This window comes from Homo sapiens, chromosome X, assembly GCF_000001405.40.
Source record: "Homo sapiens chromosome X, GRCh38.p14 Primary Assembly".
Taxonomy (NCBI): Eukaryota; Metazoa; Chordata; class Mammalia; order Primates; family Hominidae; genus Homo; species Homo sapiens.
The window spans coordinates 154,009,588-154,037,579 of NC_000023.11; the positions used below are offsets into that span (position 1 = coordinate 154,009,588).

Here is a 27,992-nt window from a genome sequence, read left to right on the forward strand (position 1 = left end):
AAAAAAAAAAGTAAATATACAGACAGCCAGGGACAGGTGCAGTGGCTCACACCTGTAATCTAGCACTTTGGGAGGCCGAGGCGGGCGGATCACTGGAGGTCAGGAGTTCGAGACCAGCCTGGTCAACATGTGGAAACCCTGTCTCTATTAAAAATACAAAAAAATTAGCCGGGTGTGGTGGTGGGCACCTGTAATCCCAGCTACTCGGGAGGCTGAGGCAGGAGAATCACTTGAACCTAGGAGGCAGAGGTTGCAGTGAGCTGAGATAGCGCCATTGCACTGCAGCCTGGGCAACAAGAGCAAAACTCCATCTCAAAAAAAGAAAAAAAAAAAAGAATTTAAACAAGGTCACAGAATATACGGTTCATATGCAAAACTCAACCGCTTTTTTTTTTTTTTTTTTTTTTTTTGAGGCAAGGTCTCCCTCTGTTGCCCGGGCTGGAGTGCAGTGGTGGAATCATGGCTCACTGCAGCCTCAACGTCCTGGGCTCAAACTATCCTCCTGGGTCAGCCTCCTGAGTAGCTCAAACTACAGGCATGCACCACCATGCCTGGCTAATTTTTGTACTTTTTGTAGAGACGGGGTTTCGCCATGTTGCCCAGGCTGGTCTCAAACTCCTGGCCTCAAGTGATCTGCCCGCCTTAGCTTCCCAAAGCGCTGGAATCACAGGCGTGAGCCACCGTGCCCAGCATCAATTGCATTTCTGTATAATATCATGATGAACTAGAAAATCAAAGATACCATTTAGAATAGCATAAAAAACATGGACTACATCAGGAAAAACCTGACACGGGAAGTGCTGGGTGTGGCCAGCCCAGAGTAGTAACAAGACCCTGGACGCTCAAGAACCCTGAAGTGTAAGGCATCAGGAAAGCTCAAGGCTTTCGGTGCAACAAAGTCCACAAGTAGAGCCCGAGATTGCAACATACGTTTTTATTACTCAAGGACAACCTGGACGTCACCAATGCCCAGCTTCACGGGGGCATGTAGTGTGACTCACGGCTGAACACAAAATCACTGTGAAGCCTGTGCTACAGCCCTGGGCTACTTTTGGACACGCAAGAGGACACTCGGTTACATGAAACCTGACTTGCTTCTGAAGACATGTGATACATGTCTTTTCCCTGAAAATGTTTCCCTTCCCTGTCTGCCATGCTCCCAACTTTTCTGCCTTCCAGGGGCTTCTCACTGTCTGGGTAACTAGGTCTTGGGCCTAGCTAGACCTTGGGTAGTGGCCCCTCTGCCACAATCAGTGCCTGGGCCTGAGGCTGAGCTTGTGGCCTCCGAAGCCTGACCTGGCTCGGAGCTCGTCTGTGGCGCCCAGGGATGGCCTGGCTTGCAGGCCACCACATTAGGCCAGCTCGCAGGTCCCCAGTAAAGCCTGAAGACACTGGCCCGAGGTTGGAGGTGGGTGCTGCTCGACTTTCTGGAGGATCTCAGAATTCTCGCTTCTTGCTAGGACTGAACCATGAGACTTACAGCCATACTTCACTTTTCCCAGGGTTTTTCTTTTTGAAACAGGGTCTTGCTCTGTCACCCAGGCTGGAGTGCAGTCATACAATCATGACTCACTGCAGCCTCGACCTCCCAAGCATAAATGATCCTCCTACTTCAGCCTCCCCAGCAGCTGGGACCACAGGCGTGCGCTACCACGCCAGGCTAATAGTTTAAAAAATTTTTTGGCAGAGACAGGGTCTCATCATGTTGCCCTGGCTGGTCTTGACCTACTGGGCTCCAGCGATCCTCCTGCCTTGGCCTCCCAAAGTGCTGGGATTACAGGCGTGAGCCACCGCACCCGGCCACACTTTTCCAAATTGTAAGCAGGTAGGAGGGCCCTAGGCCTCGTCGGCCCCATTGTGCAGGGTGGCCACTGTCCAAAGAGATGGGCAAAGAGCTGCTGCCAGAGGCCTGGGCTGCAGACGCCCTGCATGGCTCTCAGGGGAGCCAGCTCCCTACTCCACACCCCTGCACAGCAGCCCCTCTCCTCCCCTCACGGGTCTGTGCAGCCAGCAGCCTCCCAACATGCGCCAGCCTCCTCACTGGATGATGCCAGCCTTCCTTGCCCCCAGATGCTGGCATGGAGGCAGGGTTCCACTCTGCCTGCCTATGCCCACAGAGCCTAGAACAGCAGGGCCACCTCCTTCTCTCCCCCGCGGGCATGGGCCCCCACCCCCACTGCCGGCAGAGTGCTGAGGACTCGTGCACCATGAGAACTTCTGACCATGAGAACTTTGACTTCCGGATTTGGGGGATCTGCCCAGGTGAACACATCAGCTCTGAAATTCATCACTTTCTTCGGGCCCCTGCCTGTCCTGTTCCAGGCCCAAGCCTACAGAAGGAAGAGGAAAGTCCGCTTAGCAAATGGGGGAGGCTCCCCTACTGCCAGAAGCCCTGGCTCAAGGCCTGGGCCATGCTCCCTTATCTCCTGGGGCGTTCGTGGGAATTGAGGGTTTTTGTTTGTTTGTTCATTTGTTTTTGAGACAGGGTCTAACTGTCTCCCAGGCTGGAGTGCAGTGGCTTGATCACAGCTCACTGTAGCCTCCACCTCCTGGGCTCAAGTGATCCTCCCATCTTGGCCTCCAAAAGTGCTGGTATTATAGGCATGAGCCACCTCGCCCAGCTGAGGGTTCCTAAGCAGTGGTTCTTCAAATAGTACCTGGGATGGAAAATTCCTGCTGGGGCTTCCTATTTCCTGAAAGCACAGAGTGGGGCAGGCACCCTCGGGCTAAAGGAGGTGCTACTGTCAGGAGGCGAGGGAAGGAGTGGGCCAGGGTCTTGCTAAGGGAGGCATGTGGGGCCGGCTGGGCTTCTAGAGGTCGCCAGAGCCAGTGGCCTGCCCGGCTGCCCCACGCCCTCAGCGCAGTCGGGACAGACACTCTGCTCTTTGGGGCTGACACGGATGCGCCTGAGCACCCCAGAGGCCAGCCTGGGCGGCAGCACCTGGGAGGGAGCTGGACGACAGCAGCTGCAGGCTGTCCAGGGCCCCATCCTCGTACAGGGCCAGCTTCTGGACCATCTTCTGTCGGGCAGGGTTGATGATAATCTGCGGTGGCTCTGACGACGATGATGCAGAGCTGCCAAGGGCCAGTCCTGGGGTGGAGATGGCACTCCCTTAGCCTCATGCTGTGGCTCCCCAGCCCGCAGCCTAGCACCCTGCCTCCCTGGCCTCAGGCCTGAATTCCTCAGAGAAGTCCAAGGGCAGGGCCCAGCTCTCAGGCTACCAGACAGAGCCCTCCTTGTTCCCAGCCTTCAGGAATGGGGTGGGGGGAGGGCTGGAGAGCAAGCTCCACCTGGGAAGGATGTGGCCTGGGGAGGGGAAACCAGGGTTGCTAAGGTCACAGTGAGCTGAACATTTGGCCCTGGTTCTCTTCTAGAAGGCTGGGGTGGGGACTTACAGGGGCTTTGGCCCAAAGAGGCCTTGGTCCCTCTCCTGGGAACCCGTCTCCCCAGCTACCTTCCACGGCTGTGGGCCGGGATCCTGGGCCACTCCCCCAGCTCGATTCTCCTGCCGTGTCCCCCTGAGGACAGCCGGCCTCCCTGAGGGGTGCTGGGTCCAGAGGGCAGCTTGGAGTCAAGTGCCAGGAGCGCAGGGCAGCAGAGAGGCCGCCTAGGCTCTCGTCACTCTCCACGGGCTGGTTGGGGCCTCTCTGCAGCTGCTCTGCTGCCTGGGCACTGGCTCCTGATGGCGCTGCCAGGGGCTGCCATGGAGCAGCCCCACTGTGGGCTCTGCCAGTGCTGGACACGTAGGAGTTCTCCTGCGGGGAAGGGGGGATGCAGCTGGCGGCCTCCGAATGCCCGGGCACCCCCGCCACCACTGCCTGCAGCTTCTCTAGCCTCTCGTACACCTGCAAGTGGAAAAGAGGGACTCTCAGGGTGAGATGGCAGCCCTGGCCGGTCACCCCGTGGGCAAACCACAGGGCTGCTCCAGGCCGTCCGTGACCTGCCCCAGGGCTCTAAAATGACATACCCTGCAGCTGGGAACGCTCTGCCCCTCGCCCCTCTGTTCCCATCACAGGGAGTGCTGAGAAGCGCGGCTGCCAAAAGCAAGGACTGAGAATGGCCTCGTTCTTTTCTACAAAATGAATCTCACTGCCCCGCTGCCCTCAAACGGGGCCTCTCCATTTTCAACTGTCACCAGAGGAGAAGAGGTGGGGTACTAGGGAGGGGACAGAAAAAGGCAGATGCAGTAGTGCAGTGCGCCCAGCAGGGGGCGCGGCAGCAGCTCTTTCCTTCTCTCTATGTGAAGGGGGTCGGAGCTGGGCTCCGCAAAGCAGGACTGCCCGGGGCCCCTCAGTTCAGAGGGGCGCTGCCCCAAACAGAACCAAAGGGCAAGCAAGAAATGTGTGGAGACTCCAGAGAGACCTAGCAGGTGCTGAGATGGGGTCACTACAGAGCAAGGCCTGGAATGCGGGCTTTCTATCTGGCCACCCCGTCCCAGTGCGCAGCTGGCTACCTGGGTCATAGGAGGCCTCCTTTTGGCCCGGCGGTGCAGGCAGCAGCAGGCCAGCTGGCCCAGGCCCAGGCCCAGCTCAGGTGGGCAGGGCCCGGGCCTGGGGTCCAGGTGCTTCTTGTAGATCTGCATGGCGATGGGAGCAGCCCAGGCATCTGCAGCCAGACCTGCTTGCAGTGTGCTCTGGGTGCTTCTCAAAGCCACTCCAGCCTCCTCAGCCTCCTCTTCCACCAGGTCTTTCTGTGGGATAAATACTGTCAGTATGGCTACCAGGTGGCCACACCTGCAGCTGCAGTCCTCAGGTCCTTGTCACTCAATCGTATGGGTTTTGATAAAAAAAAAAAAAAAAAAAAAAGAGATGGGGTCTCGCTTTGTTGGCCTGGCTGGTCTCCAAGTAGGCTCAAGTGATCCTCCCGCCTCAGCCTCCCAAAGTGCTGGTGTTACAGGTGTGAGACACTGTGCCACAGCTCTTGGTCTTTCTACAACTTACTTTTTTTCTGAGACAGGGACTCATTCTGTCACCCAGGCTGGAGTGCAGTGGTGCAATCATGGCTCAGTGCAGCCTCAACCTCCCAGGCTCGTGATCCTCCCACCTCGGCCTCCCGAGCAGCTGGGATTACAGGTGTGTACCACCATGCCTATCTTGCTATGTTGCCCAGGCTGGTCTCCAACTCCCAGGCTCAAGCGATCCTCCTGCCTCAGATTCCCGAGTAGCTTCTAGAGATTTATTAAACACCTACTGTGGGCCAGTGGTGCTCTGGGCCCTAGGGATACAGGAACAAACAGAACCCTGGGACCCGGTTTGACAGAGCTGACTTCCTGGTGGGGGAGAGCCCCATGGAGCTGGGGTCTGAAGGCAGGAAGTAGCCTGAGAGGGCAGAGCCGAGAAGGAAAGCGCCCCACAGAGAGGTGCCCCACAGACAAAGAGGTACCCCAGAGAGAGAGGCGCCCCGCAGAGAGGCGCCCCCAGGGTGGAAACAGGACCGGAGGCCATCTCCAGTTCTGAAATCAGACAGACCAGGAGGAACCACCTGGGTGGGCGGTGGCTTTTCTCGCAGAGCGAACGGCACATACTAAGGCTGTGAAGCAGGCAGCAGGGAGCGCCCCGAGTCCCAGGGACCTGGGGCGTTGGGGGGTCAACCACATAAGGGACTGGGCCTTCACCCCAAGAGCAGAGAAAAGGCAAAGGGGCCTTTGAAAAGAGCACTTTGGCTGCAGGGTGGGGAGCAAGTGGGGAAGTCCAAGGACCCCCAAGGAGCCTGGTGCGCTTCTTCAGCAGGATGCATGGATGGACGGACGGGGAAGGGAAAGGAAGGAGGGCTCAAGCCCGGCTCCTGGGTTCTCAGCGGGGCTGAATCCTGACGGAGACCCCACAGCACACAGGAACCGCCCCAAACAAGAGGAGAAGCAGTGAAGCAATTACTGGCTGAGCACATTCTGTGAAGTCTGTTTTGCATATGGGAAAACAGGCCCACAGGGGAGCAGGAATTTGCTGGAAGGCCACTGTCAGGCTGGGGCTAAAACCCAGGTCTCTAGTCTCCTGGCCCCACCACAGTCCACGGTGAGGCAGACTGAGTGGAGTAAGACCGTGAGGCAGCTCAGGCTGCCCTGCACGGTGCGGAGAGCTCAGCTGCAGCCTGCTGGGGCCCAGGAGGTTCCTCGGGGCCTGCTTCTTCTCTACCACCGCCTTTCTCCGGCCAGAGTCCTCTGAGTTCCACTGCAGCTTGGGTCTCAGTGCCCTGGGACCGCCCTTCCCCCTGCCCCCAGCCCAGGTGGGGTCTGTACAAGGCCCATAGTGTCTGCAGGACAGACAGGTTTGTCCTCGGCAAGGTAAACGAAGTTGTTTGGAGCCCTGCCTACTTTCAAAAATGAGGCCACTGTGGCAGCAGAGGCATCCATGGGCACTGCGCCCCAGTTATCCCCGCCACTGGGGCTGTGCCTGCTGGCTGCCAGCAGCTGTGTGTCCCTCCTGGCCCTGCCTCAAGGGGCTCACCAGATACTTGGTCCTGGCACCGTGCGTCTTCACAGCCCTCTGACCAGCCAAGGTCTCTAGCACTACCTGGAGAGAGGGAAGAGGGAGAGCATGGCAGTGGCCTTGGCAGGGAAGAGGCCTCTGGTGTGGACATGGATTGGGCCTGACAAGGGTGTGGACAAAGGCAGAGCCAGATGTTATGGGACTGAAGCTCGGGCAACTCGGAGAGCCCACTTGAAGACAAATTACAAACACACAGTTAGGTGCAGGGTGAGGAGGAGGGCCTCGGAGGGAGGGGGACCCTGGAGCTGCAGCCTCCTGGGGTCTTGGCAGATGGCCCCTGGCCCGCAGTGCACTCTGCAGCCCCCACCTCTGCCTGCCTGTGGCTTCTCCTCCTCTGAGCCAGCAGAGGGGTCAGTGGCTCACCACCCCAAAGCTGAAGGTGTCCGTGTCCACAGCCAGCCTTCCCGTCTTGATGTACTCCTCGGGCAGGTAGGCCAGGGTGCCCCGCACTGTCTGTGTCCGGGCCACCATGCTGCTCTGGCTGGGGCTGGACCCGGCAAAGCGGCTGAACCGGGCCAGGCCAAAGTCTCCCAGCTTGGGTGTCAGCCTCTCATCCAGAAGGACGTTGGAACTTGGGGAGAGAAGACAGTGGCGTCAGCCCGGTCCTAGCTCCTACACCTGCCCGGCTTAGATAAGGCTGGACTCGAGGCTGCCAGCCCGGTGCCTTGCCCACAGAAAGCGCTGGCACTGCCCTGAGCGCTCCAGCTGCCTGGGGGCCTCTGCTCATCAGTAGGGCCCATCCTTGGCCCGTTCCCACACCTGTGCGATGCCGGGGTGTTGAGGTCCCAGGCCATGCCTGATCCCCACATTGATAGGACGCGGGGCCCCCCTTGCTGCAGGCCCTGCCCCGGCAGTTCTCAAGGGCCCCTCCTCACCTCTTGATGTCTCCATGGATGAGGCTGGGGCTGTCCTGATGTAGAAACTGAATTGCCCGGGCTGTACCCAGAAGGATGTCCAGTCGCTGAGGCCAGGAGAGAGGTGGGCAGGCCTGGGTCTGGGGTGGCAAAGGGGGACAGGGGAGGTTGCTGGATGGCCGTTCCTTGATCCCAACCATCCTTCTACCTGTCACCGTGCAGCCTGGAACAGCCACTTCACTCTCTAGGCCTCAGTTTCCCCCTTCTGGAAAACGAGGAGCAAAGTCTCCGTGACCTGCACTTCTTAAGCAATGGCTGGGGACACGTTCAATAGAATCTGCTGGGCTTCGGCTCCCAGGGCTCATCCCTTTGTCCCTGGTGGTCGGGAAGTCCTTGAAGGCATTCTTCCCGCTCTCCCCAAACGCAGCATGCAGGAGGAGGCAAGGGGGCCCTCCCTCAGCTGTAGGTGGTCCAGCTGGTAGCCCCAGACCCCCTCGCCTCCGGGGCTTGCTGATGAGACCCTCCAGCTACGCTGCTTGCAAAGGGGAGAGGCCTGGGAAAGAGCTCTATAGAAAACATTGGGTCGGGCCAGGCGTGGTGGCTCACGCCTGTAATCCCAGCACTTTGGGAGGCTGAGGCGCGCAGACCACCTGGGGTCAGGAGTTCGAGACTAGCCTGGCCAATGTGGCAAAACCTCATCTCTACTAAAAATACAAAAATTAGGCAGGTGTGGTGGTGCATGCCTGTAGTCCCAGCTACTCGGGAGGCTGCGGCAGGAGGATCGCCTGAACCCGGGAGGTGGAGGTTGTGGTGAGCTGAGATCACACCACTGCACTCCAGCCTGGATGACAGAGCAAGACTCCACCTCAAAAAAAAAAAAAAAAAAAAAAAAAAAAAAATTGACCCCACCGTGGGCCAAATCCTGAGCCGGGTGCTGCTGGGGAGCTGGAAGTGCAGGCCTGGCCTGCTGGCAGGACCCACTCACACAGGCTGAAAGCCCTAGGCCCCGCGCCCGGCTCCAGCCAGGTGTCAGGAGTGCTTTGGGTCCTGGGAAGCGTGCCGGGCCAGGTGAGCCTACCTGGCAGTGGAGACGGTCCTCCAGGGAGCCGTTGGGCAGGAAGCCGTACACCAGGCAGTAGAAGCCGTTCTGAGCACAGTAGCCAGCAAAGTCCACAATGTTTGGGTGACGAAACCTGTTTGAAAAAGGGGAGCACTTTCCATCAGGCCAGACTGGGTGGGCAGCCCTGGCTGGGGCCTCAGCTCGCCCGGGCCTGCCAGGCCTCAGGTGCCCAAGGGAGCCAGGTCCTGTGGTGTGCGGTCTGAAGCCCCACGGGACCTGGTGTGGCTCCCCCTCTGGCCTCACCTGGACAGCTGCTCCACCTCGGTCAGGAAGCTCTGCTTCACTGCAGTCCACTCCAGGTCAGCGTTCTGCAGCCCCCAGGGTGCGGTGGGGGAAGGGGCAGGGAAGACGGGCAGCGTGAGGCTCTCGAAGCGAAGGCCTTCGGGCCACCAGTGCCACCTACCCGAGGCCCAGAACCACCAAGGGGCCAGGGACCCTACGCCAGAATGAGGGCTGAAGGAGTTGTGTGGGGAAGCGAGGGGGAAAGGCTGGAGAAGTGGTGAGGGTTATCTGATGGCCTTCCAGGGTCCCTGCCAGGGTGCGACACTCACCTCCTTCAGCCTCTTCACAGCATACACCGTGTTCCTCATCACCGCCCGGTACACGCACCCAAAGCCACCCTCCCCGATCTTGAGCTCCTCCGAGAAGTTGTGGGTGCCCCGGGAAATCTCACAGAGGGGCCAGCAAAACGGAAAGGGGCGGGCTCCCTGCAGGAGGGACACTGAGCTCTCTGGGCCTGGCTGTGGGAAGAGAGCCTGGATCAGGTGGGGTCCCTGTCTCTTCCCTTCTGCCCAAGGCTCCAGGCTCTCCCCACCACAGCTGCCTCCCAGCTGACCCAGCTTGGCTGACTGGGGCTCTGCGCTACATCAAAGGCTGAATTCCTTCCTCCTTGTCTCGAATCTTCCCTGGGGGGCAGGGGACACCTACCTTGGTAGAAGAAGGGGCTGGAGATGGCGGTGGAGGCCACAGGGAAGCAGGGCTTGGGACCAGGCCGAGCTCAGGCCCTGAATGGGTCTGGGAGCCTGGAAAAGCTTCATAAAGACACCAGTGAGAGGCAGGCAGAGACCAGCAGCAGGGTCTACAGCCGTGGCCGTGGTCAAGGTGGGCTCTTCTTTGGGTCCACCGAGCCTAACAACCGGGCCCTCTTACCTGGGGAGAGGAAGGTGGAGGCTGAGGATGGCAACTTCCGGGGGCTCCAGGCCTCGGCCTCGGCGGGTGCAGGGATGCTGCTGGGCCTCGGGGCAGTGGTGCCTGGGGACGGAAGCGGGGCGGGAGGGTGCCCTGGGACGCCAAGGAAGGAAAGGAAGGTTGAGGCCCGGGTGGGGGAGCCCCGTGGGGCCCGCCGGCCTCCCAGCCGTGGGGTGCCCGGAGTCCCGCGCTCACAGGCTGTGATGATGTCCCGCGCACGGAGCAGCTGCAGGTGCGTGAGGATGTGCACGAGGTCGGCCACACGGGCGTTGCGGTTGATCCAGGGCCACAGGACGCTGGCCGTGCGCTGCCCGGAGCGCTCGCACAGCCGCAGCTCGGTCTGGTCGCGCACGATCAGGGCGGCTGCGGGGCGGGGGGCGTCAGGCGTCGGCGCCAGGAGCCCGCGCGCCTCCCGCCCCCCGGCAGCCCGCCGCCACCCACCGAACTGGCACCAGTCGGCGGGCTCCAGGGCGTCCATCACTTTGTAGAAGCGGCACATGACCCAGGGCGGCACCTCGTACAAGAAGTGCTGGGCGCCGGGGGCTGCGGGCTCCCCCGGGCCCGGCCCCCCGGCCATGGCTGCCGCCGCCGGGCCGGGACCTGCCGGGGCCTCTCAGGGCCGCGGCGGGCGCGGGCCTGGGCCGGCCGGGTCCGCGGACACTGACTCACTTCCCCTTCGAGCCGGCCTCGTGCGACGCCCGGCGGGGCGGAAGGGGCGGTGCCCGGGCCCGCCGCCATCTTGCGCGCCGCGGCCGCGCGCTGGGTCACACGGGGGCGCCCCGCGCCGGGGAGGGCCCGGGTCCCGGCGGGTTCCGCGAGCGGCGATCGGCCTCCCGGGCTCGCCCGGGCGGGGCTCTGGAGGACGAACGGCGGCTCCCGGCGTTGGGGACAGAGGGCAGGGCGGAGGCCCGGGCTGCTCGGAAAGGGGCCGGGGCCGGGCCTTCCGAAAGCTCCTGGGCGGCCCTGCCGGAACCCTGCTCTCCACTGCGGCCTGCAGGGCTGTTACCAGGAGCCCTGCCTGCCCGCCCCACGTCTAGCCCCCTGCACACGGCAGCAGCCTTGAGCCATTCAGTCTCCTTAGGTGTCCTGAAATATGCCGAGAACGCTGCCCGCCACAGCCGTGAGTGTATGCGTTGCTGCTGCCCCAGCCCTCATTTGGCAAGGGTGAGCTCAGGCAGCTGTGGTGAAGGCTTCCTGAGCCCGCCGGCAGAGCTCCTGCCACCCCGTACCTGTCCCCTCCTGGGCATCGTCCTTGATTACTTGTCTGGACCGCCACCCCCGGTCCCCGCCCTGAGATGGGGAAGACCCCACAAGCAGCAACGCAGACTTACTCTTTTGTTTCTCCAGCTGGATGTCTCCTCCAGCGACAGTTCCCCTTGCCCTCTTGATCCTGACAGCGAAGGGGTTCCCCACCCCTAGCCCTACAGACTTAGGACTTTTCCTAGAAACGAGAAGTGCCCAAGGCCCACAGCTGGCCCCTGTTGGAGTCTCTTTCCTGAAGCCACCACCACTGTGGCCACTCCCAAGGAAGATGCCAACCATACCATGAAACCCATGGCTTCTCACGGGACAGACTTTACTGAGATGTACCAACTCAAGTATCTGAAATGACTGCACACCCATGCTAACCTCCACGGGGGCACTTGGTCCTACTTACACACAAAGGCCCATCAGCTCACGGAACAGGGCTGGCATACGAGATGCTCAATGCATACAAGTTGACTTTTCAACCCTGGGATCTACCTTTGAAGGCCAGGCCTTCCGAGGGTACCTTCTAGCATGTGCATGTGAAGCTGGACTCCTTTGAGCAGTTGTCTCCTCCAGCCCCTTACCAACCTGGTGAGGCTGCTCCTGAGAGCCAAGGAAGCCAGTAACAAGGGGGCCCCCTTTGGGCAAACCCCTCAGCCTGCCCTTGCCTGGTCAGAGAACCACGTTAGCAGTCAACAGAGGGCACGTGAGGGTCCTGGCCAGAATGAGACACAGGAGGAGCCACAGCCTGCGGGGGTGGGGGTGTCCAAAAGCACCACAGCACATCCAGACCTAGGGGGTGCCCCTACCATACGGGTCTGGAGCAGGGAGGTTGTGCTGCAGGCTGACTCATGCCAGGCCCTTCCCGTCACACGCTGGAGCAGTGTGCCTGGAGAGCACTGGCTTGGAAGAAGCTGAGGGGCCAGCGAGGCCAGCATATGGAGGAGGCTTCCCTTGGCCGCTCGTGGCAGGCCTGAAGGCAGCTACCTGTGTCCAGGGACAGCCAGATCCAATGAGGAAACGCAGCACCATGCTGTCATGTGAGCTGGAGGGGGACTTCTGTCTTATAATGAAAGCCCAGACCTTGAGTCACTTTCACAGAGAGATTTATCGAGAATGCTAACAGCACAGGATACAGTACTTCCCAACAAAAGGTGCAAACGCGTCACTTAGAAAGGCATGCTGAGTATTCTTTGCTTTCACATGTATTAAAAAACTTACAAAAATAAAATAAAACTGCGTGCTGCCCATCTTTTCCAATAGTAAAAGAACCTTATGAAAAAATCACTTGATTTTTACAACAAAAGACACAAACGGACATTTTTATGTAAATTTATAAGGCAAACTCTTTATATAATAAATAGGTTACAGGGATTCAGTGGGGGGGGGGTGTTTTTGAAACGTATACAGGTACATTCAGACAGGTTTACTGAAATGGTACAAATTTCCTTAATAAATTGCCTTTTGTTTTTAAATATATCAGTGCTTTCAGTCATTTGGCTATACACAAAGAACCTTTTTTCTGAACACTACAAAAAAGCAATCAATAATTTTTGTTTTTAAAACGACCTACTTATTTTCTAAAGTAATTGTCCCAAAACACAAAAACTGAAGGTGAATACGATACAGGGCTTTTAGAGACATCTCCAGCTAAGTGTGTCCCGGCCTCTCCCTGTGCCCCAAGTGCACCTCTCCCAACCTCAGACAGGTTTCCAGGCTGGAGCCAGCTCCCTTCTGCACAGGGTGGCCTGTGTTACTGGCAATGCTGTCCATAGCTCTCGGCCTCTGGGCTGGCACAGGGGAGCATGACTTCAACTCAGGAGGGGGCAGACACCCTGCCTAGCTCTTCCAGATGCTGCACCCGGCATGCAATGGTCACTACAGTCAGCACTCTCCGCCTCTCAGAGGAGGGAGGGGCTGTCAGGTGTTTTGGGAGCCCAAAACCATGCCTAATGAGGGTAATGGCTTTTCTAAGGAGATGTTTTCGCCATGGAATGGGAAGGGGTTTTCTCACATCTAAGTTTTGCTGGCGATCGGGTGACAGCCAAGAGAGTGCAAGCCCCCTCCATGGTCATTTTATTGCCCTGGGAAGGGGAGGGTGGGGAATAGAGATGTCACAGTGTTGAGCCCTGGAGGATGGGGTGGGATGTGACGGAAGTGTCTTAAACAGTAATGCCCACGGGGCACACCTTGGAGAGAGAATGCCCACCACCTGGCCTGTCCAGGAAGAGCTGCATCTGCCAACATTAGCCTGACCTGTGCCCACAGCAGAGCGTCCCAGCCTCCTGCTTGGGTGGGCCCAGCCCCATTCTCCCCAGCTCTTCAGCTCTGCACACACACATCCCCTCCTGGCTCCCCTCAAGGAAACATCAATCTTGCCTTTCCTTAAAAGCACGGGATGGTGGTAATAATCTCGGGGGGAGGGGAAGCAAAACAAGAATCCACTGGGCGGAACAAAACCTGGTTTTGCAGTGACTTGGAAAGTGGCAACACATCAGCTATTCGGCTTGCTGGCTTGGAGTGGGACTCCTGGGCTCCACTGCTTTGGGTGGCTTCTGGCTGATCTGGGCAGGGGTCATCTGTTCAGCTCTCCCCTCTCATCTCAGTCACCATCCCCCTCCCTCCGAATGCTTTTGTTTGTAAAGAAAAAGTGTCTAGAAATATTTGTCTCTGGAACAATTACTTTAAACATAGTTACAATACAGACTTCAGTTCAAACACAGAAGAGATTTACTTAGCAAAATTCCTTTCACCCACCAAAAATTACACAAATATAAGCCTCAACACCACAGTTAAGAGGACCAGTAGAGAGAACCTCATGTTTGGAACACAAAAGGAGAAATAAAAACCAAACCAAACCCAAACAGAAAAACCCCAGAAAGACAAGTAAAGGGCAAAGAAGGAAGGGGAAGGGGAGCAAACACAGCACACGTTACAGTGTCCAGATACACGGGAGCCCAGCATGGGCAAGGGCTCGGCACACATTGAGTAACAGTCCTGGTGATATTTGGTCATATATTCATTGACTACTGACTCTGGAGCGGCTGTTATTGATTGAAGCAGTGACAAATCAAACGGAAAGGAGGCCGTGGTAGCAAGGGAAGGAGCAGGCTTCAAGTTCTGCAAGCCTTTTGCACTCCACTGTCCAGCTCCCCAGAAACACTGAACCGGGTGGGCCCCGCTCCATCCGGGCAGGGCTAGAGGTCACCGGGTGAGGCTAACTCGGGCGTCGATTTCATGTCAGTCAGAAAACACGCACGTGGACGCACGCAGACACCCACCTGTTCACGGCCAAACATCAGCGGCAACGGCCTCCTCGCCTCCTCTGCCCCTATCCCAGGCTGGGTGGGAAAGAGCATCATGACCCACTGCTAACACTGAACACACGCCGGAGCTGGCCCCGGATGTGGGCCCAGAGGCTGCCCCAGCCCTGGTCCTCCGAAGGGCTCACGGGTAGCCCGGCCACTGAAAGGGCCTATGGCTGTTTTTCTTTTGGATTCAGGCCTCAGAAGAAGCAATGACAGCAGGGAGGGAAGCTTTTGGCCCTGGTGATTATAATGCTCTCTGCTTTGGAAGAACAAGTTTCTGGATTTTTTTGGTGTTTCTAATTATTAAAAAAAGATGATCAAAAAGAACTGTTACAGCTAAACTCTCTAGCAGATATTGCTCATTAAGAATTACAAAAGCAAATGCAATTACTCGTAGGATGGGGGAGAAGAAAGGGACATTTCTGGAGTCTTCACTACTCCTGGAGGGGACCCCTTGGACTGACGCACATGATTCTGGGGTCCCTGGCGTTCTACCTGGTGCAGCTCACAGGTTCCGAGACAGGCCAGGCCTCCCGTCTCCGCTCCAGCCCCCAGGCTCGACAGAGTGGGAAGGATGAAACACACTCGGACCCTACTGGCAGGGAGGCCTGCGAGGCTGACTCCACATGGGCTCACCCTGACCAGGTCACGGGAAGGGGACTGGGGGAGTCAGGCCACCCCAGTGGACTCCAGCTCCCAGAGGTGGAAGGCGACCAGGCTGTGCCGACTACGTTCCGGACTTCAGCAGGTCAAGGGAGCGCTCCTGCACCCAGAACCTTGGGACCTCTTTCACAAGCACGGGAGAAACAAGAGTGCAAAACCTGGGTGCTGCCTGGAGCCTCCTTCACCTGGCACAGGAAAGCCCTTGAAAGAAGCGAGGAAAAGACCACGAATCTGCTTGGACAGAAGAAGTGACCAGCAGACAGATTTGTCGTTTTTTTTTCTTTTTTTTCTTTTTTTATTTTCCCTTGTCCTATGCTATGGTTATCAGAAATATTGTAATTAAGCAACAGGTATAATTTTAACAGGTCTTTTTTTGTGTGTGTGGAGCCACAAGCAAAATGAGTTTATAATTGTGCAATATACAGATATATATATAAAAATTCAACTGCTTTGTGTGTCTAGTCGGTGCGTTAAATAAAAGGGACAGAAAAACTAAAAGCAAAACTAAAAAGCAAAACAAAAGCCCAGGATAGAGGAGACAAAGCAGGCCTATGCGCACAGTCTATGTGTTACTGGATATAATCAGGGTCACCAGGAAGAACAGCTTTGCCACTTGACACACAAACACTGCGGGGAGAGGGGCTATCAGTGGGCAGGAGCCAAACCTCTTGGCCTTTTCACCTCATCTGCTCTCACTGCTGAGCAGGACCTGATTAAAGGTAGGACAGAATGGGGGTTTGGGGGCAAAGAGATTTCCAAATTCCCCAAATGTTCTTGAATTCAAAGGTAGGATTTCCTCCAGGGTCTGGGCTCTGCCTGTGCACAAGTCGGAGCCCGGAGCGGGAGCTGGGGGTTGTGCTCCCTCCTTGCACTGCCCTCACACCTGCTTCCTTCTGCCTCCTGACAGGGCAGGCAGGGGGCCTTGGGGAGGCAGTGAGAGGCCAGCTCAGAAGGCTCAGCTGATCCGAGGCGAGCAGAGCAGGAGTGGGCAAGGCAGGCTGCCCCTCAGGCAGAAGTGCCTTCCTAGTTCCCTGGGTGTTTTCCTGACACGTCAGCGCTGGGGCAGGCTCTGTCAAGATGAGAAGAGTGGGAAGGAGGGTGGTGCTGGGCCTTCCAGGTCACTGGTGAACGCTCCACCTTCCATACCACTCCCAAAAGACAGGTTCAGAAGCCATGTCCTCAGGTCGGCTACCTCCAGATTCCCCTTGCCTGTAATGCTCACCAGGCATCTCAGGCCAAGTGCTAAGTATTTTTAGATCAGCACTGTTGTAAAAGCTTGCTCGTATTCATTCAAAAACATCGAAATGTAATTTTCTGCCAAATGTTTTCTAGGTTTTCCTTCTAAATTGTTGAGAACTGACTTCAGTGTTCAGCTTTTCCCCTCTAATATGTAATTTTAGACCCTGGGGGAGGCAGTATCCTAACGATTTATAACAAGTAGACTATGCCTTTTCTAAAGATTGATACAATATCTAAAAGAGAAAGACACCAAAATGGAGAGAATCAACAAATCCCGTCAGAGCAGAGAGAAGAGTAGGAAGACCCGGAGGGAGCAGGGCTCTGCCCCCCCACCGGGCAGGTCCTCCAGACCCACTCCATGGTAGGAACTCTAGAAACAGCTGACTCCCTGAAGTCTAGGACACAGGTCCTAGAATCTGCAGGTGTGAACTTGAAACAGGAATCCATTTGGGGCAATGACACAGGCTAAAAATGTATATGCCCAAAGATCTTCTTAAAGAACTGGTACCTGTAACCTCCCCTGGCCCAGTCAGCCCAGAGAGCCTGACTGGAATGCTCTGGAAAAGGAGCTGTGGTTAGACGGGGGACACAGAGTTCTGGCTGTCAGGCTCCACTTGGGCTAAACCAATTCCAGATGGTCCCGCGCAGGGGACTCCGCTCGTATCCCTCTGCTCCCTCCTGGGCTTGAGCCGCTTACTAAGTGATTTAAAATTCAGAGATTCTGTCAGCTAAAGAAACTCCTTTCTCCACCCAACTTGGCAGTTTGTGTCTGGTTATTACCCTCTTTCGCCATCACTGTCACAGCAATGAAAAGCTGGGCAGAGAAGCAGGTGACAATTTGGGGCTGCTCCCTGTCCCAGGTGCACTGTTCATGCTTCGGGCCTGGAATGATGCCACCCAACAGAAGATTGTCTGCACCCGCACTGGCGCTCACGAGTAGCAGCTTCCGCCATCCAGCGAGCTGAGAAGCTGGGGCCGTTGGCTAGTTTGGCACTGATGGATTGGGGGATGTGGCGTTTCTGGGTGTCCCCTGTGTCTTTTGATATGGGAATACAGCATCAACAGAAGGGAGCTGTGCTAGCGCCTGGCTGTGACCAAGTATCTCCAGCTCACTGAGCTGTCAAGACCGGCAATCCCACTGGCTATGACAAGCCCACCAGCAGGCAGGGCCGGGAGGGGTAGACCTGGGGGGAGCTCGACGACATACAGTATTGTCAGGAGAGGAGGTAGTAACTAACAACTGGAACAAGGGTGGGGGAGACTGTGGATGTGGCCTTAATGACCTAGCCCCATGGGTACTGGAAAGCTGTCGGTCAATTCTGCTGTTCACAAATTCACTGAAAGAGGCCCCCATCTTCATAATGTTCAAGTACAGACAAAATTGAAATTGAGGTCACACCCCAAAACTGGGCCGGACACAGCTGGTGAGAATCCTGCAGCTTAAGGCTTTCCCTCCAACCTCCTGTCAACCTGACCCCAAGGCAGGGGCAGCATGAGAGCTGCAGGGCCCCTGCCTGCCAGGGCGATAAACCGCCAAGGCTGCCTGCTGAAAGGCGACTGACTCGTGATGCCTTTGGGAAAGACGAGGGAATGAGGAAGAAAGGGGGAAATAGAGAGAAAACCCTAAGGAGCCTCAGGCCCCACTGGCAGCTCTGGAATAAACTGGAAGGGAAAGAGGCTGGGCAACTGCCTCTTTGAGGGAGCTGCAGGTGGGGCCCGAATGAAATAAAGTGACGCTTGAAATGCTGTGTTCCCAACCACGACTGCCCCATCGGCCCTGAATGAACTGTCATGGGTGACAGGGGGGCCTGGTGGGCCACGCACTCCTCTTACCAGGACCAGATGACGCCCAGGTGACGGGGAAGCAGCTCTGGACAATGATTCCAGAAGCCACATTACATTTGACTAAGTATAATACATAAAAACCCAACTGACCAAAATAAACATCTTCTCAGTGACAACCTGGTCGGATGCTGCGCTCTCGTGGATAAGTGTCCTTTGGTAGTGCCAGGAGTTCGAGGCCACTATGGGGGCAGGAGCCTTCTGTCCTTGGAGGAAGAGTTCTGGAGGACTCACCCTCTCTTCTGACCCCCCTTCCCTTCCTGGGGAAGAGTCAGAAGTGAAGCTGGGGGGGTCATCAGCAGAGCAGGTGGAAGGGATCAGGGATCAGGGATTGGGCTGATGGGAGTTTGGTTGCAGGACTTGCTTTTACAGCATAAGGAAATGGACACATATATGCTAGAAAGTCCAACTATGAGACTCTACAAACAGAACGGGGCAAACTCCCTCACTTCTAACCATTCCAGAAGAGACAAACACGGTTTTTTCTTAAGCTACTGATTGGAACTGTCAACTATGGTTCCTGATCACTAAAGACTGGCAAGGAAGTGCTAGACAGTTTCTATGATGTTTCACTCCTTCATGATTACACCATAGTAAGGAAGCCAGGGACAATAACTGAAATACACAAGACAACACACACTTGACAGTTCATGGCAGCAGCTCACATGGGACATGCCTGTGGGTGTTTCTGGAAGCATAAGACTGCTGTCTCATTTGCTACTTTGATAAGGTACTTCTCAGTTGGACAGATTTAGATATAAGAGACATCTCTGTAAACACAGAAAAGGATATACCAATATGATGAAGATATGCAGCTAGATAAGGACTTCCTGAACAGAGGTTAAAAAGATGGGATCCCACATGAAAACTGATCAATTAAAAACCCACAGCAAGCCCATGCCTCTAAGCCCCTACACCACAGCTATGGACCAGACAGACAGTGAAATGTGTGGTGTTCTGGCCCCCTGTCTGCATCGAGCAAAAGCAAAACATTGCCATTCAAGAAGAACTCCGAGGGAAAAGGGGGAGCAGAGGAAGGGCTGGGGACCCAGGTACTGGTCCCAGCTCGGGTCTTGGGAGTTCTGCATTGGTACCGCTACTGCCCTGCTGCACTACGCTAGACTCTGGACTTCTGAGTGAGGTCAAGGTCGGCTGGCATGGAGCCCCTGTTGGGCCACTCGATGACTGGCAGGCCACAGGAGGCCTCTGTGCTTTCCTCAACTACCAAATCGGGCCCAGCTCCTCCAGTCCACTTCTCTAGAGTAGAAGGGTGAAAAGGCTCGTTGTTCAGGGTGGGAAATGCCTTTTGCTTTTTCTTACCAGGGAAGAGGGGGCTACCTAGGAGAGCAAGACCTTGCTGCTCTCTTGCTCTTCACAGACAGGCCAGGTCGGACTCAGCAGAGCCCAAGGCCTCCTCAGGGCTCAAAACAGGGTGGGGCTGGTACTGGCAGCAGGAGGACAAAGGGCAGGCAGAGTTCTGGGGACTGGAGCCGACAAGTGTGGTTGGGCACCGCGGCTGCCTGGAAGAGAAGGGATGAACTAGGAAGGAGGAGGATGGAGGAAGGGAAAGAAGTGAAAGGATGAAATGAACAAAAGGCAGAAATGGAAGGGGAGAAGAGAAACCAATCAGGAAGTCCTTATAAAATTGCAGCAAACACTTAGAGTTTCGGAGCTTCGTGGGAACCCTATGTGCTGAGCCCACTTTAAAACAAGCGCAGGTATATATACAAATCCAGGTAGTTCTCAACACTGTCACATCTGGTGGCTTGAGGGACTAAATGTCACCAATTCAAGCCAGTTTGCTCTCAGAGCATCTGTTTGTTTTGAAGTGGGAACATGAAGACTCAATAGTGCAAATAATTCTAAGCTGTCCCTAAAGGAGAATTGGAAAGTAACTGGAAGAACATTTTCTTCTCCTCCCCCTTTGCCCCCTCCCCTGTCCACTAAGTCACAGACTGCTCTGAGTGATTAGGAATCCCTCTCACCCCGCTGTGCTCTGCCCGGCCTGACCCCAGGCCAGCCTGCCTGCACCTTGTCCTACTGCCTCCATGGCCTCTAGCGCCACCCGTTGGAGGACGTCCCTTGAGAATGGACCATGCCACCTCACCCTGGGCCATCCTCTCCTGTGGTTCAGGCCAGTCTACACCCAGTAGTTCAAGGGACTCCCCCCTCCTAGCCATGCCAGAGCTGGAGCAGACAGGTGCCACTTTCCTGTCCTGTGAAGCGTCCTTGCCAGTTTTGGATTGGGGCTGGTGTGGGGCCAGACTTGAGCCACCACGGGTGGGATCGCACAGGCCATAGCCACTGGTCATATCCATCTTCTCTAAAGAATCCAACTGTCTCTCCTGCCTCACACCTCCCTGTCCCAACGTGGTTGGGAGTGGGGGAGGTGGGGGGAGCTGGGGGAGCTGTAGACGGGGCACTGATGGCACCGAAAACGGGAGTGTCCTCTCAACTGCTCTGTCGCTCTGTCTCTAACGACCACATGGGGGAAAGGTTTGGGCGGGAGGGGAGGTGCCTGGTCAACAGCTTGTCTGGTCAGTAGTATCTGCAGCAAGCCTTGTTGAAGGAGCCTAGTTTAGAAAAGTGCAAAGCTACTTCTGGCCCTGGTTAGGTCTTCAACCTGACTGTGCTTGTCGGTAAGAAAAACATCCCCAATGCTCCAACTACTCCCACCCTGAAGCCACGAAACTCTAAGTTTACTGAAAGAAAAAAAAATATTTTTTATTTCAGTTAATCGGGAAGCTTTGTCAGAGCCCTACCCATAAGGAGAAGAGACAACAGCTGCCTTTATTCTTGTTGGTTTGCTTTGCAATCCGCTCCGTGTAAAGTCAGCTAACTCTCTCGGTCACGGGCGTCCGGCTGTCCACAGGCTCCTCTCTGTTTGGCCTTGGCATGGAGGATGAAACAATGTCTTTGCGCTCTCCCTCCCCTCGGTGTTTGTACTTTTCTGCGGCCGTGGCGGCGGTGGCAACCGCGGGCTGAGTCTTAGCTGGCTCCTTGGGGCAGCCGTCGCTCTCCAGTGAGCCTCCTCTGGGCATCTTCTCCTCTTTGCAGACGCTGCTGCTCAAGTCCTGGGGCTCAGGGGGGCTGGTGGGGTCCTCGGAGCTCTCGGGCTCAGGTGGAGGTGGGGGCAGGGGTGGGAGCAGTGGCACGGGGGCCTTTGGGGACTCTGAGTGGTGGTGATGGTGGTGGTGCTCCTTCTTGGGGGGTGAGGAGGCGCTGCTGCTGCGCCCCTTGGGGCTGCTCTCCTTGCTTTTCCGCCCAGGGCTCTTACAGGTCTTCAGTCCTTTCCCGCTCTTCTCACCGAGGGTGGACACCAGCAGGGGCTTCACCACTTCCTTGACCTCGATGCTGACCGTCTCCCGGGTCTTGCGCTTCTTGATGGGGAGTACGGTCTCCTGCACAGATCGGATAGAAGACTCCTTCACGGCTTTCTTTTTGGCCTCGGCGGCAGCGGCTGCCACCACACTCCCCGGCTTTCGGCCCCGTTTCTTGGGAATGGCCTGAGGGTCGGCCTCAGCTTTTCGCTTCCTGCCGGGGCGTTTGATCACCATGACCTGGGTGGATGTGGTGGCCCCACCCCCCTCAGCCTTGCCCCCTGGCGAAGTTTGAAAAGGCATCTTGACAAGGAGCTTCCCAGGACTTTTCTCCAGGACCCTTTTCACCTGCACACCCTCTGACGTGGCCGCCTTGGGTCTCGTGGTGCCGCTCCCTTTGGGGCGTCCCCGGCCTCTGCCAGTTCCTGGAGCTTTGGGAGATTTGGGCTTCTTAGGTGGTTTCTGCTCTCGCCGGGAGGGGCTCCCTCTCCCAGTTACCGTGAAGTCAAAATCATTAGGGTCCAGGGATGTGTCGCCTACCTTTTCGAAGTACGCAATCAACTCCACTTTAGAGCGAAAGGCTTTTCCCTGGGGACTGTGGGGACAAACAGAAAGACACAAGGAACAATTAGAGGCTCTCCATAGCAATGTCAGAGATAGGGCAGAGCGGATGGTGGTGACAACGCTCTGACAAACGTTACTATTGAACGAGAGTCACACTGCCTGGCTGCCCCTGAGGACCTGTCACCAAAGCCACTCACTCGTCTGCCTGCCGCTGACCCCCCCAGGCCTCTCCAAAGTTCAGCAACCAAAGAGTCAGGCCTGGTACAGAAGGGTTGTCAGGCTGAGGCCCATTCTGCTGGTTGGTGCCTGGGCCTGAGTCACCATCTAGAACATTCCCAAGTTTGAACTCAGGTACGGTGCTCAGTCTCTCCAGGAATCAGTTTCAACAAGATAATCCTTTGCTCACCCTTCTCATGGAATTAAATGAGGCTGTCTGCAAATGTCATTTGAAAACTGCTAACCTTTTTGGGATCATTTAAAAGGCAGAACTGAAACATGCTTCTTCACCCCTCTGAACCCCTAGCTCTGCAAGTTCCTCTGCTTCCGCAGCTATTCCATCCCCAGATAAAGACTTGAGGTGTGGAGAGGATAGAGGGCCTGCTACCTTGAGAACTTCCCACTCAGGGCAGCGACCTCTGTACACGGTCATTTCAAGCACACCTGGTCTCAGTGTTCATTGTTTATGTTCCCCCCGACCCCACCCTGGGCACATACATTTTCCTGCTCCATGAGGGATCCTTGTCCCTGCCCTCCCTGCCCTGTAGAGATAGGAGTTGCTCTTACTTACTTGATCAAATACACATCATACTTCCCAGCAGAGCGGCCAGATTTCCTTTGCTTAAGCTTCCGTGTCCAGCCTTCAGGCAGGGTGGGGTCATCATACATGGGTCCCCGGTCACGGATGATGGAGCGCCGCTGTTTGGGGGAGGCAGAAGCTTCCGGCACAGCCGGGGCGGAGCCTGACCCTTCTGATGTCTCTGCTTTGCCTGCCTCTGCGGGCTCAGCAGAGTGGTGGGCTGATGGCTGCACGGGCTCATGCTTGCCCTCTTTCTCTTCTTTCTTATCTTTCTTCACCTTTTTAAACTTGAGGGGTTTGTCCTTGAGGCCCTGGAGGTCCTGGTCTTCTGACTTTTCTTCCCTGAAGTGTTAAACAAGTATGTAAGTATCACAGAGAACATGCCAGTCTGCAGAACAAGTGAGCAGAGGCAGGCTTGGACCCCCACCACATGCAAGGCCCCAGGCCATCATACACTCAGATCTTGATGTCCTTCCCCAGGACAACAGAGACTCGGGCCAAGCTGGGACCCAAATATTTCTTTAGGAATTTGGGCTGTGGGTGGTGCTGGCCGGTGTGCCTGACCTGCACTGTGGCCACCCACAAGTCTCCTAGCACTGCAGGAGAATCAGAGCCCTTTCCTCTGAGCGGAAACACTGCGGCTCCTGAGCATACCACCCCAGCATGAGTCGCACTTCAAGGGACTCTGGGCTCGATGGCTGACAAGAGGCCGTCGACTGCTGGAAAGGGAGCCAAATGGGGGAGGGGTCTCCTTTGTGAAGGCCGGGCCTTGGGTGTGTTTTTGGTTTTCTAGAATGAGGCTCAATGAGGCACACAGTACAGTGTCATGGAAAGCACACACAGGTTTGGAGCCAGCCAACCTGCACTGAAATCCTTTGCCGCTTTCCAAACATGAACCCAGCAAATGACCTCAGCATTCTGTGCTTCAGTTTCCTTATCTTGACAACAGGTAACCCCATCTAGGCATCCTTACTGTGAGCATCACAGGAGAAAAGGCACAATGGCACTATATAAATATCAGCTAACTCAGGCCACAGGAAACTACCGCCTAGGGTCCTGGGGGTGATAAGACAAGTGGTCCCAGGTGGCGTGAGCCTCTAACACATGTTCCCTGATGAGGAATGGCCTCGGCCACAGCAGATGCGGAGGGAAGAGCAAGGAAAAAGGTGTGGTCCAGGCAGAGCCATACATCCCCTTCCTGCCGGTGGAGAAGAGCACCCTACCTATTCTAGTGTGGGAGGCTTCCCCGTTCTTTTCTGGTGACCGAAGCAGCTCCTTCTCTACACATCACTTTGGCCCGGTGGGGTCTCGTCAGAAATGGCCACCGTGAGGCCCCACACCCCAGCATCACTATCTGGCCATGATGCTCTAGTACTCTGTCGAGTATGCCACCGTGAAACCTCCTAGGACTCCAGAGCCTCTGCAACAACAGGGGCAGCTTGGAAAGAAGCAGCAGCCACCTGCGAGTCCCTTCGTTAGCAGTTCATTCTGGAAAAGAGCATGACTACTCCCACCCTCCGTGTTCTCAGCCCCACAACTCCCCTGTCCCATGTGGTTCACATCAGTGCTAGTCACCGCCTTGCGGCTGGTCTACCCCAAGAGACTTCCCCTCTTGTCTACACTGCACAGACTGTGCAATGAGGGCACCATGGCACTCACTGGCAAGCATCCTTAGGAAACCAGAACTCAAATGATGTAGGGAAGTTACCAAAGGCTGCTTAGTGCTGGGACTCAGAAGCTGCAAGGACGTATCTCTCCAGAACCATCAGGTCAGGTGTAGGGAGGCAAGAGATGTTCCAATCTAGTGACAAGGTCTTAGAGTGAGGGAATGTCTTGTCCCCACCATGACTCACCCCTGAGTTCCTCCCTATCCTGTATCTTCCTCCAGAAGTTTAGGGCCCAGAGTGTGGCTGCCAGAGTCACCTAGAGCCACTGCATACACAAAGGCATCCTACAACCCACAGAGCAGTCTTTCTTGCTGTAAAGAGGGGTCCCTAATCTGTCCCAGCACAGAGCTCGCCTTGTTTTGTTTTTTGTTTTTTTTTTGAGATGGAGTCTCGCTCTGTTGCCGATGGCATAATATCGGCTCATCGCAACCTCCGCCTGCCGGGTTCAAGTTATTCTCCTGCCTCAGCCTCCGGAGTAGCTGGGATCACAGGCGTGTGCTACCACGCCAGGCTAATTTTTGTATGTTTAGTGGAGACGGGGTTTCACCATGTTGGGCAGGCTGGTCTCGAACTCCTGACCTCAGGTGATCGACCCGCCTCAGCCTCCCAAAGTGCTGGGATTACAGGCGTGAGCCACCGTGCCCAGCCAGAGCTTCCTTTTCATGTCTCTGAGTCTTACAGCTCTCAATGGGAAATGACGAAGAACCCTGGAAAGCTAGGTGTGGCCTGTTGCCCACCAGAGATCAGCCTTTGAGAATGGACCCCTAGGCAGCTCCCCAGCTCCCCATAAAGGAGGGAGGGAAGGGGAGCCACCAGCAGAGTGGGCCAAGAAAGCAGACAGATGGGAATCGCTACTTCTACACAATCCATCATGGCACTGCCTAACGCCAGGGCTGCTCCCTAGAACCCGGACGGTCCTAATGTCAGAGAAAAACAGTGAACTAATGGGAAAGATCTGGCTTCTTCGAAACTCTCATTTGCATTTCCCAAATACCTTAATCACCATGAGGTCAAACTATAAACCTAAACGTGACGTAAGGAATGCCTTCTAGAAATCTATGCTAAAGAGACACCTCCAGAAATCTCAAAGAACATATGCATGATGTTATTTGCTACAACATTATTTTTACCAGCCAAAGGCTTCCAATACCCCCGATCCCTATCACCAGGGCACTTGCTGAATAAACTTATGGTGCGCCCACACACTGGAGTACTGTGCAGATCCAAAGGGACTAAACAAGAGCTCTAAGAACTGCGATGGAGTCATTTCCAGGATCCACTGTGAAGCAAAGGGAGCAAAGCGCAAACATATCTACTGCATTCTACCAAAGAAAGAAGGGGGGGTATTAAGGAAGGACACACCAGGAACTAATGAAATTGATTCCCTGCATGGGGTAGGGGGAAAAAGGTAAGGGTACAGGCACAGGAGTGAGGCCTAGCTGAACATGCCTCAGTGTAATTCTGACTTCTGAATCATGTAAATGTTTATATTACCCAAAATAAAATTCAAACTAAAAGTAACAAAACCTTATTACACTTAATGCAAATAAAAACAAATGAGTTCGGGCCAGGCATGGTGGCTTCAGCCTACGATCCCAGCACTTTGGGAGGCCGAGGCGGGTCGATCACCTGAGGTCAGGAGTATGAGGCTGCAGTGAGCCATGACTACATCACTGCACTCCAGCCTGAGTGACAGAGCAAGACCCTGTCTCTCTCTCTCTCTTTTTTTTTTTTTGAGACAGAGTCTTGCTAGAGTGCCATGGCGTGATCTTGGCTCACTGCAACCTCCGACTCCTGAGTTCAAGCCTTCTCCTGCCTCAGCTTCCCGAGTAGCTGGGATTACAGGTACCTGCCATCACGCCCGGCTAATTTTTGTATTTTTAGCAGAGACGGGGTTTCACCATGCTGGCCAGGTTGGTCTTGAATTCCTGACCTCAGGCGATCCACCCACCTTGGCTTCCCAAAGTGCCGGGATTACAGGCATGAGACACCACGCCTGGCCAAGACCCTGTCTCTTAAAAAAAAAAAAAAAGAAAAGAAAAAAGAAAAGAAACAAATTTAATTCTATATCAAATTGACAATATACCACAGAGAAAAGATTTATTTCAAATGACTTTTGACTACAGTGCTCTGCAAACCTGTAGTGGGACATATTCTAAGGCCAACAATAACACTCCAGGGGCAGTAAACACACTAGATTGGCTCCCAGGAGAGATATGTGATTCTGCTTCTGGGGCATCTTGTGCCAGAAAGCCCGGGGAGTGCAAGAGAAAAACAGGGAGGGCCCATGAGAGGCCTCTAGCAGTGGTCCAGGTGTGGCCCAGGGTGGGGGCAGTTGAGGATTTGGGGCTGGTCTAGGTGGTGAAGCAACAGAGCTCGCAGGTGGATTAGTGTGGGGGTGAGGGGCAAGGGTGAGTCAGGGACCATGTCCAAAGCCTGGGAAGATGGTGGTGCCACTGATTGAGAAGGAAAAGACTGAGGGGCCGGCTGGGTGCAGTGGCTCTCACCTGTAATCCCAGCACTGTGGGAGGCTGAGGCAGGTGGATCACCTGAGGTCTGGAGTTCGAGCCCAACCTGGCCAACATGGTGAAACTCCGTCTCTACTAAAAATACAAAAATGAGCCGGGCGTGGTGGCAGGTGCCTGTAAGTCCCAGCTACATGGAAGGCTGAGGGAGAAGAATCGCCTGAACCCAGGAGGCAGAGGTCGCAGTGAGCTGAGATCGCAAGACTCCGTCTCAAAAAAACAAAAACAAAAACAAAACCACTGGAGCGGCAGGGGAGCAACACCCACAGAGACAGTTATACCATCAAGGAGAGAAAACAGTTCTTCAGCTACTCGCTAGAAAGGGGGGAAACCCCGCTGTGATCAGATTCTGAGTTGGGCCTGAATGAAAATGAACTGTCTGCTTGGGGTTTTAAAGGCTTTTTATTGTGGTAAAATATACAAAACAGGTCAGGTGTGGTGGCTTACACTTGTAATCCCAGCACTTTGGGAGGTGAGGCAGGTGGATCGCTTGAGCTCAGGAGTTTGAGACCAGCCTGGGCAACATAGCAAAACCCTGTCTCTACAAAAAAAAAAAAAAAAAAAAAAAATTAGCTGGGCATGGTGGTGTGTGCCTGTAATCCTAGCTACTCGGGAGGCTGAGGCAGGAGGATCACTTGAGCCTAGGAAGTTGAGGCTGCAGTGAGCCGTTGATCATGCCACTGCACTCCTGCCTGGGCGAACAAACCAGACACATATATGTCTCAAAAAAAAATACATATATATATATATATATATATATATATATATATATATATATACACACACACACAAAACAAAGTTTACCTTTTTAACTATTTCTAAGTGTACAATGAATGAACTTTTTTTTTTTTTTTTTTGAGACGGAGTCTTGCTCTGTCACCCATGCTGGGGTGTGGTGGCGCAATCTCGGCTTACTGCATACAGGCTCTGCCTCCCTCCTGAGTTCAAGCGATTCTCCTGCCTCAGCCTCCCGAGTAGCTGAGATTACAGATGCGCACCACCACGCCCAGCTAATTTTTGTATTTTTAGTAGAGATGGGGTTTCGCCATGTTGGCCAGGCTGGTCTTGAACTCCTGACCTCAGGTGATCCACCCACCTGGGCCTCTCAAAGTGCTGGGATTATAGGTGTGAGCCACCATGCCTGGCCCTAAATGAACTTTTAAGAGCACTGA

The 27,992-nt window shown here is 55.4% G+C and overlaps 2 protein-coding genes and 1 non-coding gene across 26 annotated transcripts in view, besides 12 other annotated features; all 3 read right to left on the minus strand.

Annotated features, from left to right (window-relative positions):
• On the minus strand, positions 920-10,315 carry IRAK1 (interleukin 1 receptor associated kinase 1). 6 transcript variants are annotated; one of them, XM_047442098.1, is made up of 15 exons: positions 10,090-10,315; positions 9,844-10,011; positions 9,610-9,741; positions 9,388-9,491; positions 9,012-9,200; positions 8,704-8,768; positions 8,419-8,533; positions 7,362-7,480; positions 6,850-7,057; positions 6,445-6,510; positions 4,564-4,691; positions 4,455-4,518; positions 3,456-3,756; positions 2,942-3,091; positions 920-2,330 (listed from the first exon to the last, which is right to left on the minus strand). In XM_047442098.1, the coding sequence occupies exons 1-15, from the start codon at positions 10,223-10,225 to the stop codon at positions 2,272-2,274; spliced, it is 2,004 nt and encodes a 667-aa protein (XP_047298054.1). In that variant the 5' UTR covers positions 10,226-10,315; the 3' UTR covers positions 920-2,271. The 6 variants fall into 6 exon arrangements, with proteins under 6 accessions (XP_047298054.1, XP_047298053.1, NP_001020413.1 ...); XM_047442097.1 differs by having other exon boundaries at positions 3,456-3,846; NM_001025242.2 differs by having other exon boundaries at positions 4,455-4,691.
• Positions 2,372-3,356: an enhancer, noted in NCBI's record as "H3K27ac-H3K4me1 hESC enhancer chrX:153277410-153278394 (GRCh37/hg19 assembly coordinates)". NCBI's record gives its function as "activates a minimal SCP1, AML or CMV promoter by ChIP-STARR-seq in primed H9 embryonic stem cells {active_cell/tissue: H9 hESC(primed)}" and the evidence as "EXISTENCE:reporter gene assay evidence [ECO:0000049][PMID:30033119]".
• Positions 3,357-4,340: an enhancer, noted in NCBI's record as "H3K27ac-H3K4me1 hESC enhancer chrX:153278395-153279378 (GRCh37/hg19 assembly coordinates)". NCBI's record gives its function as "activates a minimal SCP1, AML or CMV promoter by ChIP-STARR-seq in naive and primed H9 embryonic stem cells {active_cell/tissue: H9 hESC(naive and primed)}" and the evidence as "EXISTENCE:reporter gene assay evidence [ECO:0000049][PMID:30033119]".
• Positions 9,685-9,754: a silencer, noted in NCBI's record as "silent region_21080". NCBI's record gives its function as "represses an Ori minimal core promoter by ATAC-STARR-seq in GM12878 lymphoblastoid cells {active_cell/tissue: GM12878}" and the evidence as "EXISTENCE:reporter gene assay evidence [ECO:0000049][PMID:35858748]".
• Positions 9,765-9,864: a silencer, noted in NCBI's record as "silent region_21081". NCBI's record gives its function as "represses an Ori minimal core promoter by ATAC-STARR-seq in GM12878 lymphoblastoid cells {active_cell/tissue: GM12878}" and the evidence as "EXISTENCE:reporter gene assay evidence [ECO:0000049][PMID:35858748]".
• Positions 10,215-10,594: a silencer, noted in NCBI's record as "silent region_21082". NCBI's record gives its function as "represses an Ori minimal core promoter by ATAC-STARR-seq in GM12878 lymphoblastoid cells {active_cell/tissue: GM12878}" and the evidence as "EXISTENCE:reporter gene assay evidence [ECO:0000049][PMID:35858748]".
• Positions 10,215-11,249: a biological region, named in NCBI's record as "H3K27ac-H3K4me1 hESC enhancer GRCh37_chrX:153285318-153286287".
• Positions 10,280-11,249: an enhancer, noted in NCBI's record as "H3K27ac-H3K4me1 hESC enhancer chrX:153285318-153286287 (GRCh37/hg19 assembly coordinates)". NCBI's record gives its function as "activates a minimal SCP1, AML or CMV promoter by ChIP-STARR-seq in naive H9 embryonic stem cells {active_cell/tissue: H9 hESC(naive)}" and the evidence as "EXISTENCE:reporter gene assay evidence [ECO:0000049][PMID:30033119]".
• On the minus strand, positions 10,333-10,402 carry MIR718 (microRNA 718). The gene has a single exon (NR_031757.1). It is a non-coding gene; the product is annotated as a microRNA 718 (primary transcript).
• Positions 11,365-11,434: an enhancer, noted in NCBI's record as "active region_30052". NCBI's record gives its function as "activates an Ori minimal core promoter by ATAC-STARR-seq in GM12878 lymphoblastoid cells {active_cell/tissue: GM12878}" and the evidence as "EXISTENCE:reporter gene assay evidence [ECO:0000049][PMID:35858748]".
• Positions 11,986-27,992, minus strand: part of MECP2 (methyl-CpG binding protein 2) — a 76,145-nt gene continuing 60,138 nt past the window's right edge. For 14 of the 19 annotated variants that reach the window (NM_001110792.2, NM_001369393.2, NM_004992.4 and 11 more), the window contains 2 exons: positions 22,620-22,970; positions 11,986-21,863 (listed from right to left, as the gene is read on the minus strand). In NM_001110792.2, the coding sequence (NP_001104262.1) occupies positions 20,780-21,863; positions 22,620-22,970 (1,435 nt within the window). In that variant the 3' untranslated portion in view covers positions 11,986-20,779. Of the gene's footprint in view, positions 21,867-22,619; positions 22,971-24,336; positions 27,275-27,992 lie in introns of those variants that run through there. The other 5 variants (NM_001386139.1, NM_001386138.1, NM_001386137.1 and 2 more) reach the window with 3 other exon arrangements.
• Positions 22,851-23,393: an enhancer, noted in NCBI's record as "H3K27ac-H3K4me1 hESC enhancer chrX:153297889-153298431 (GRCh37/hg19 assembly coordinates)". NCBI's record gives its function as "activates a minimal SCP1, AML or CMV promoter by ChIP-STARR-seq in primed H9 embryonic stem cells {active_cell/tissue: H9 hESC(primed)}" and the evidence as "EXISTENCE:reporter gene assay evidence [ECO:0000049][PMID:30033119]".
• Positions 23,394-23,937: an enhancer, noted in NCBI's record as "H3K4me1 hESC enhancer chrX:153298432-153298975 (GRCh37/hg19 assembly coordinates)". NCBI's record gives its function as "activates a minimal SCP1, AML or CMV promoter by ChIP-STARR-seq in naive and primed H9 embryonic stem cells {active_cell/tissue: H9 hESC(naive and primed)}" and the evidence as "EXISTENCE:reporter gene assay evidence [ECO:0000049][PMID:30033119]".
• Positions 23,938-24,480: an enhancer, noted in NCBI's record as "H3K4me1 hESC enhancer chrX:153298976-153299518 (GRCh37/hg19 assembly coordinates)". NCBI's record gives its function as "activates a minimal SCP1, AML or CMV promoter by ChIP-STARR-seq in naive H9 embryonic stem cells {active_cell/tissue: H9 hESC(naive)}" and the evidence as "EXISTENCE:reporter gene assay evidence [ECO:0000049][PMID:30033119]".
• Positions 26,317-26,882: an enhancer, noted in NCBI's record as "NANOG-H3K4me1 hESC enhancer chrX:153301355-153301920 (GRCh37/hg19 assembly coordinates)". NCBI's record gives its function as "activates a minimal SCP1, AML or CMV promoter by ChIP-STARR-seq in primed H9 embryonic stem cells {active_cell/tissue: H9 hESC(primed)}" and the evidence as "EXISTENCE:reporter gene assay evidence [ECO:0000049][PMID:30033119]".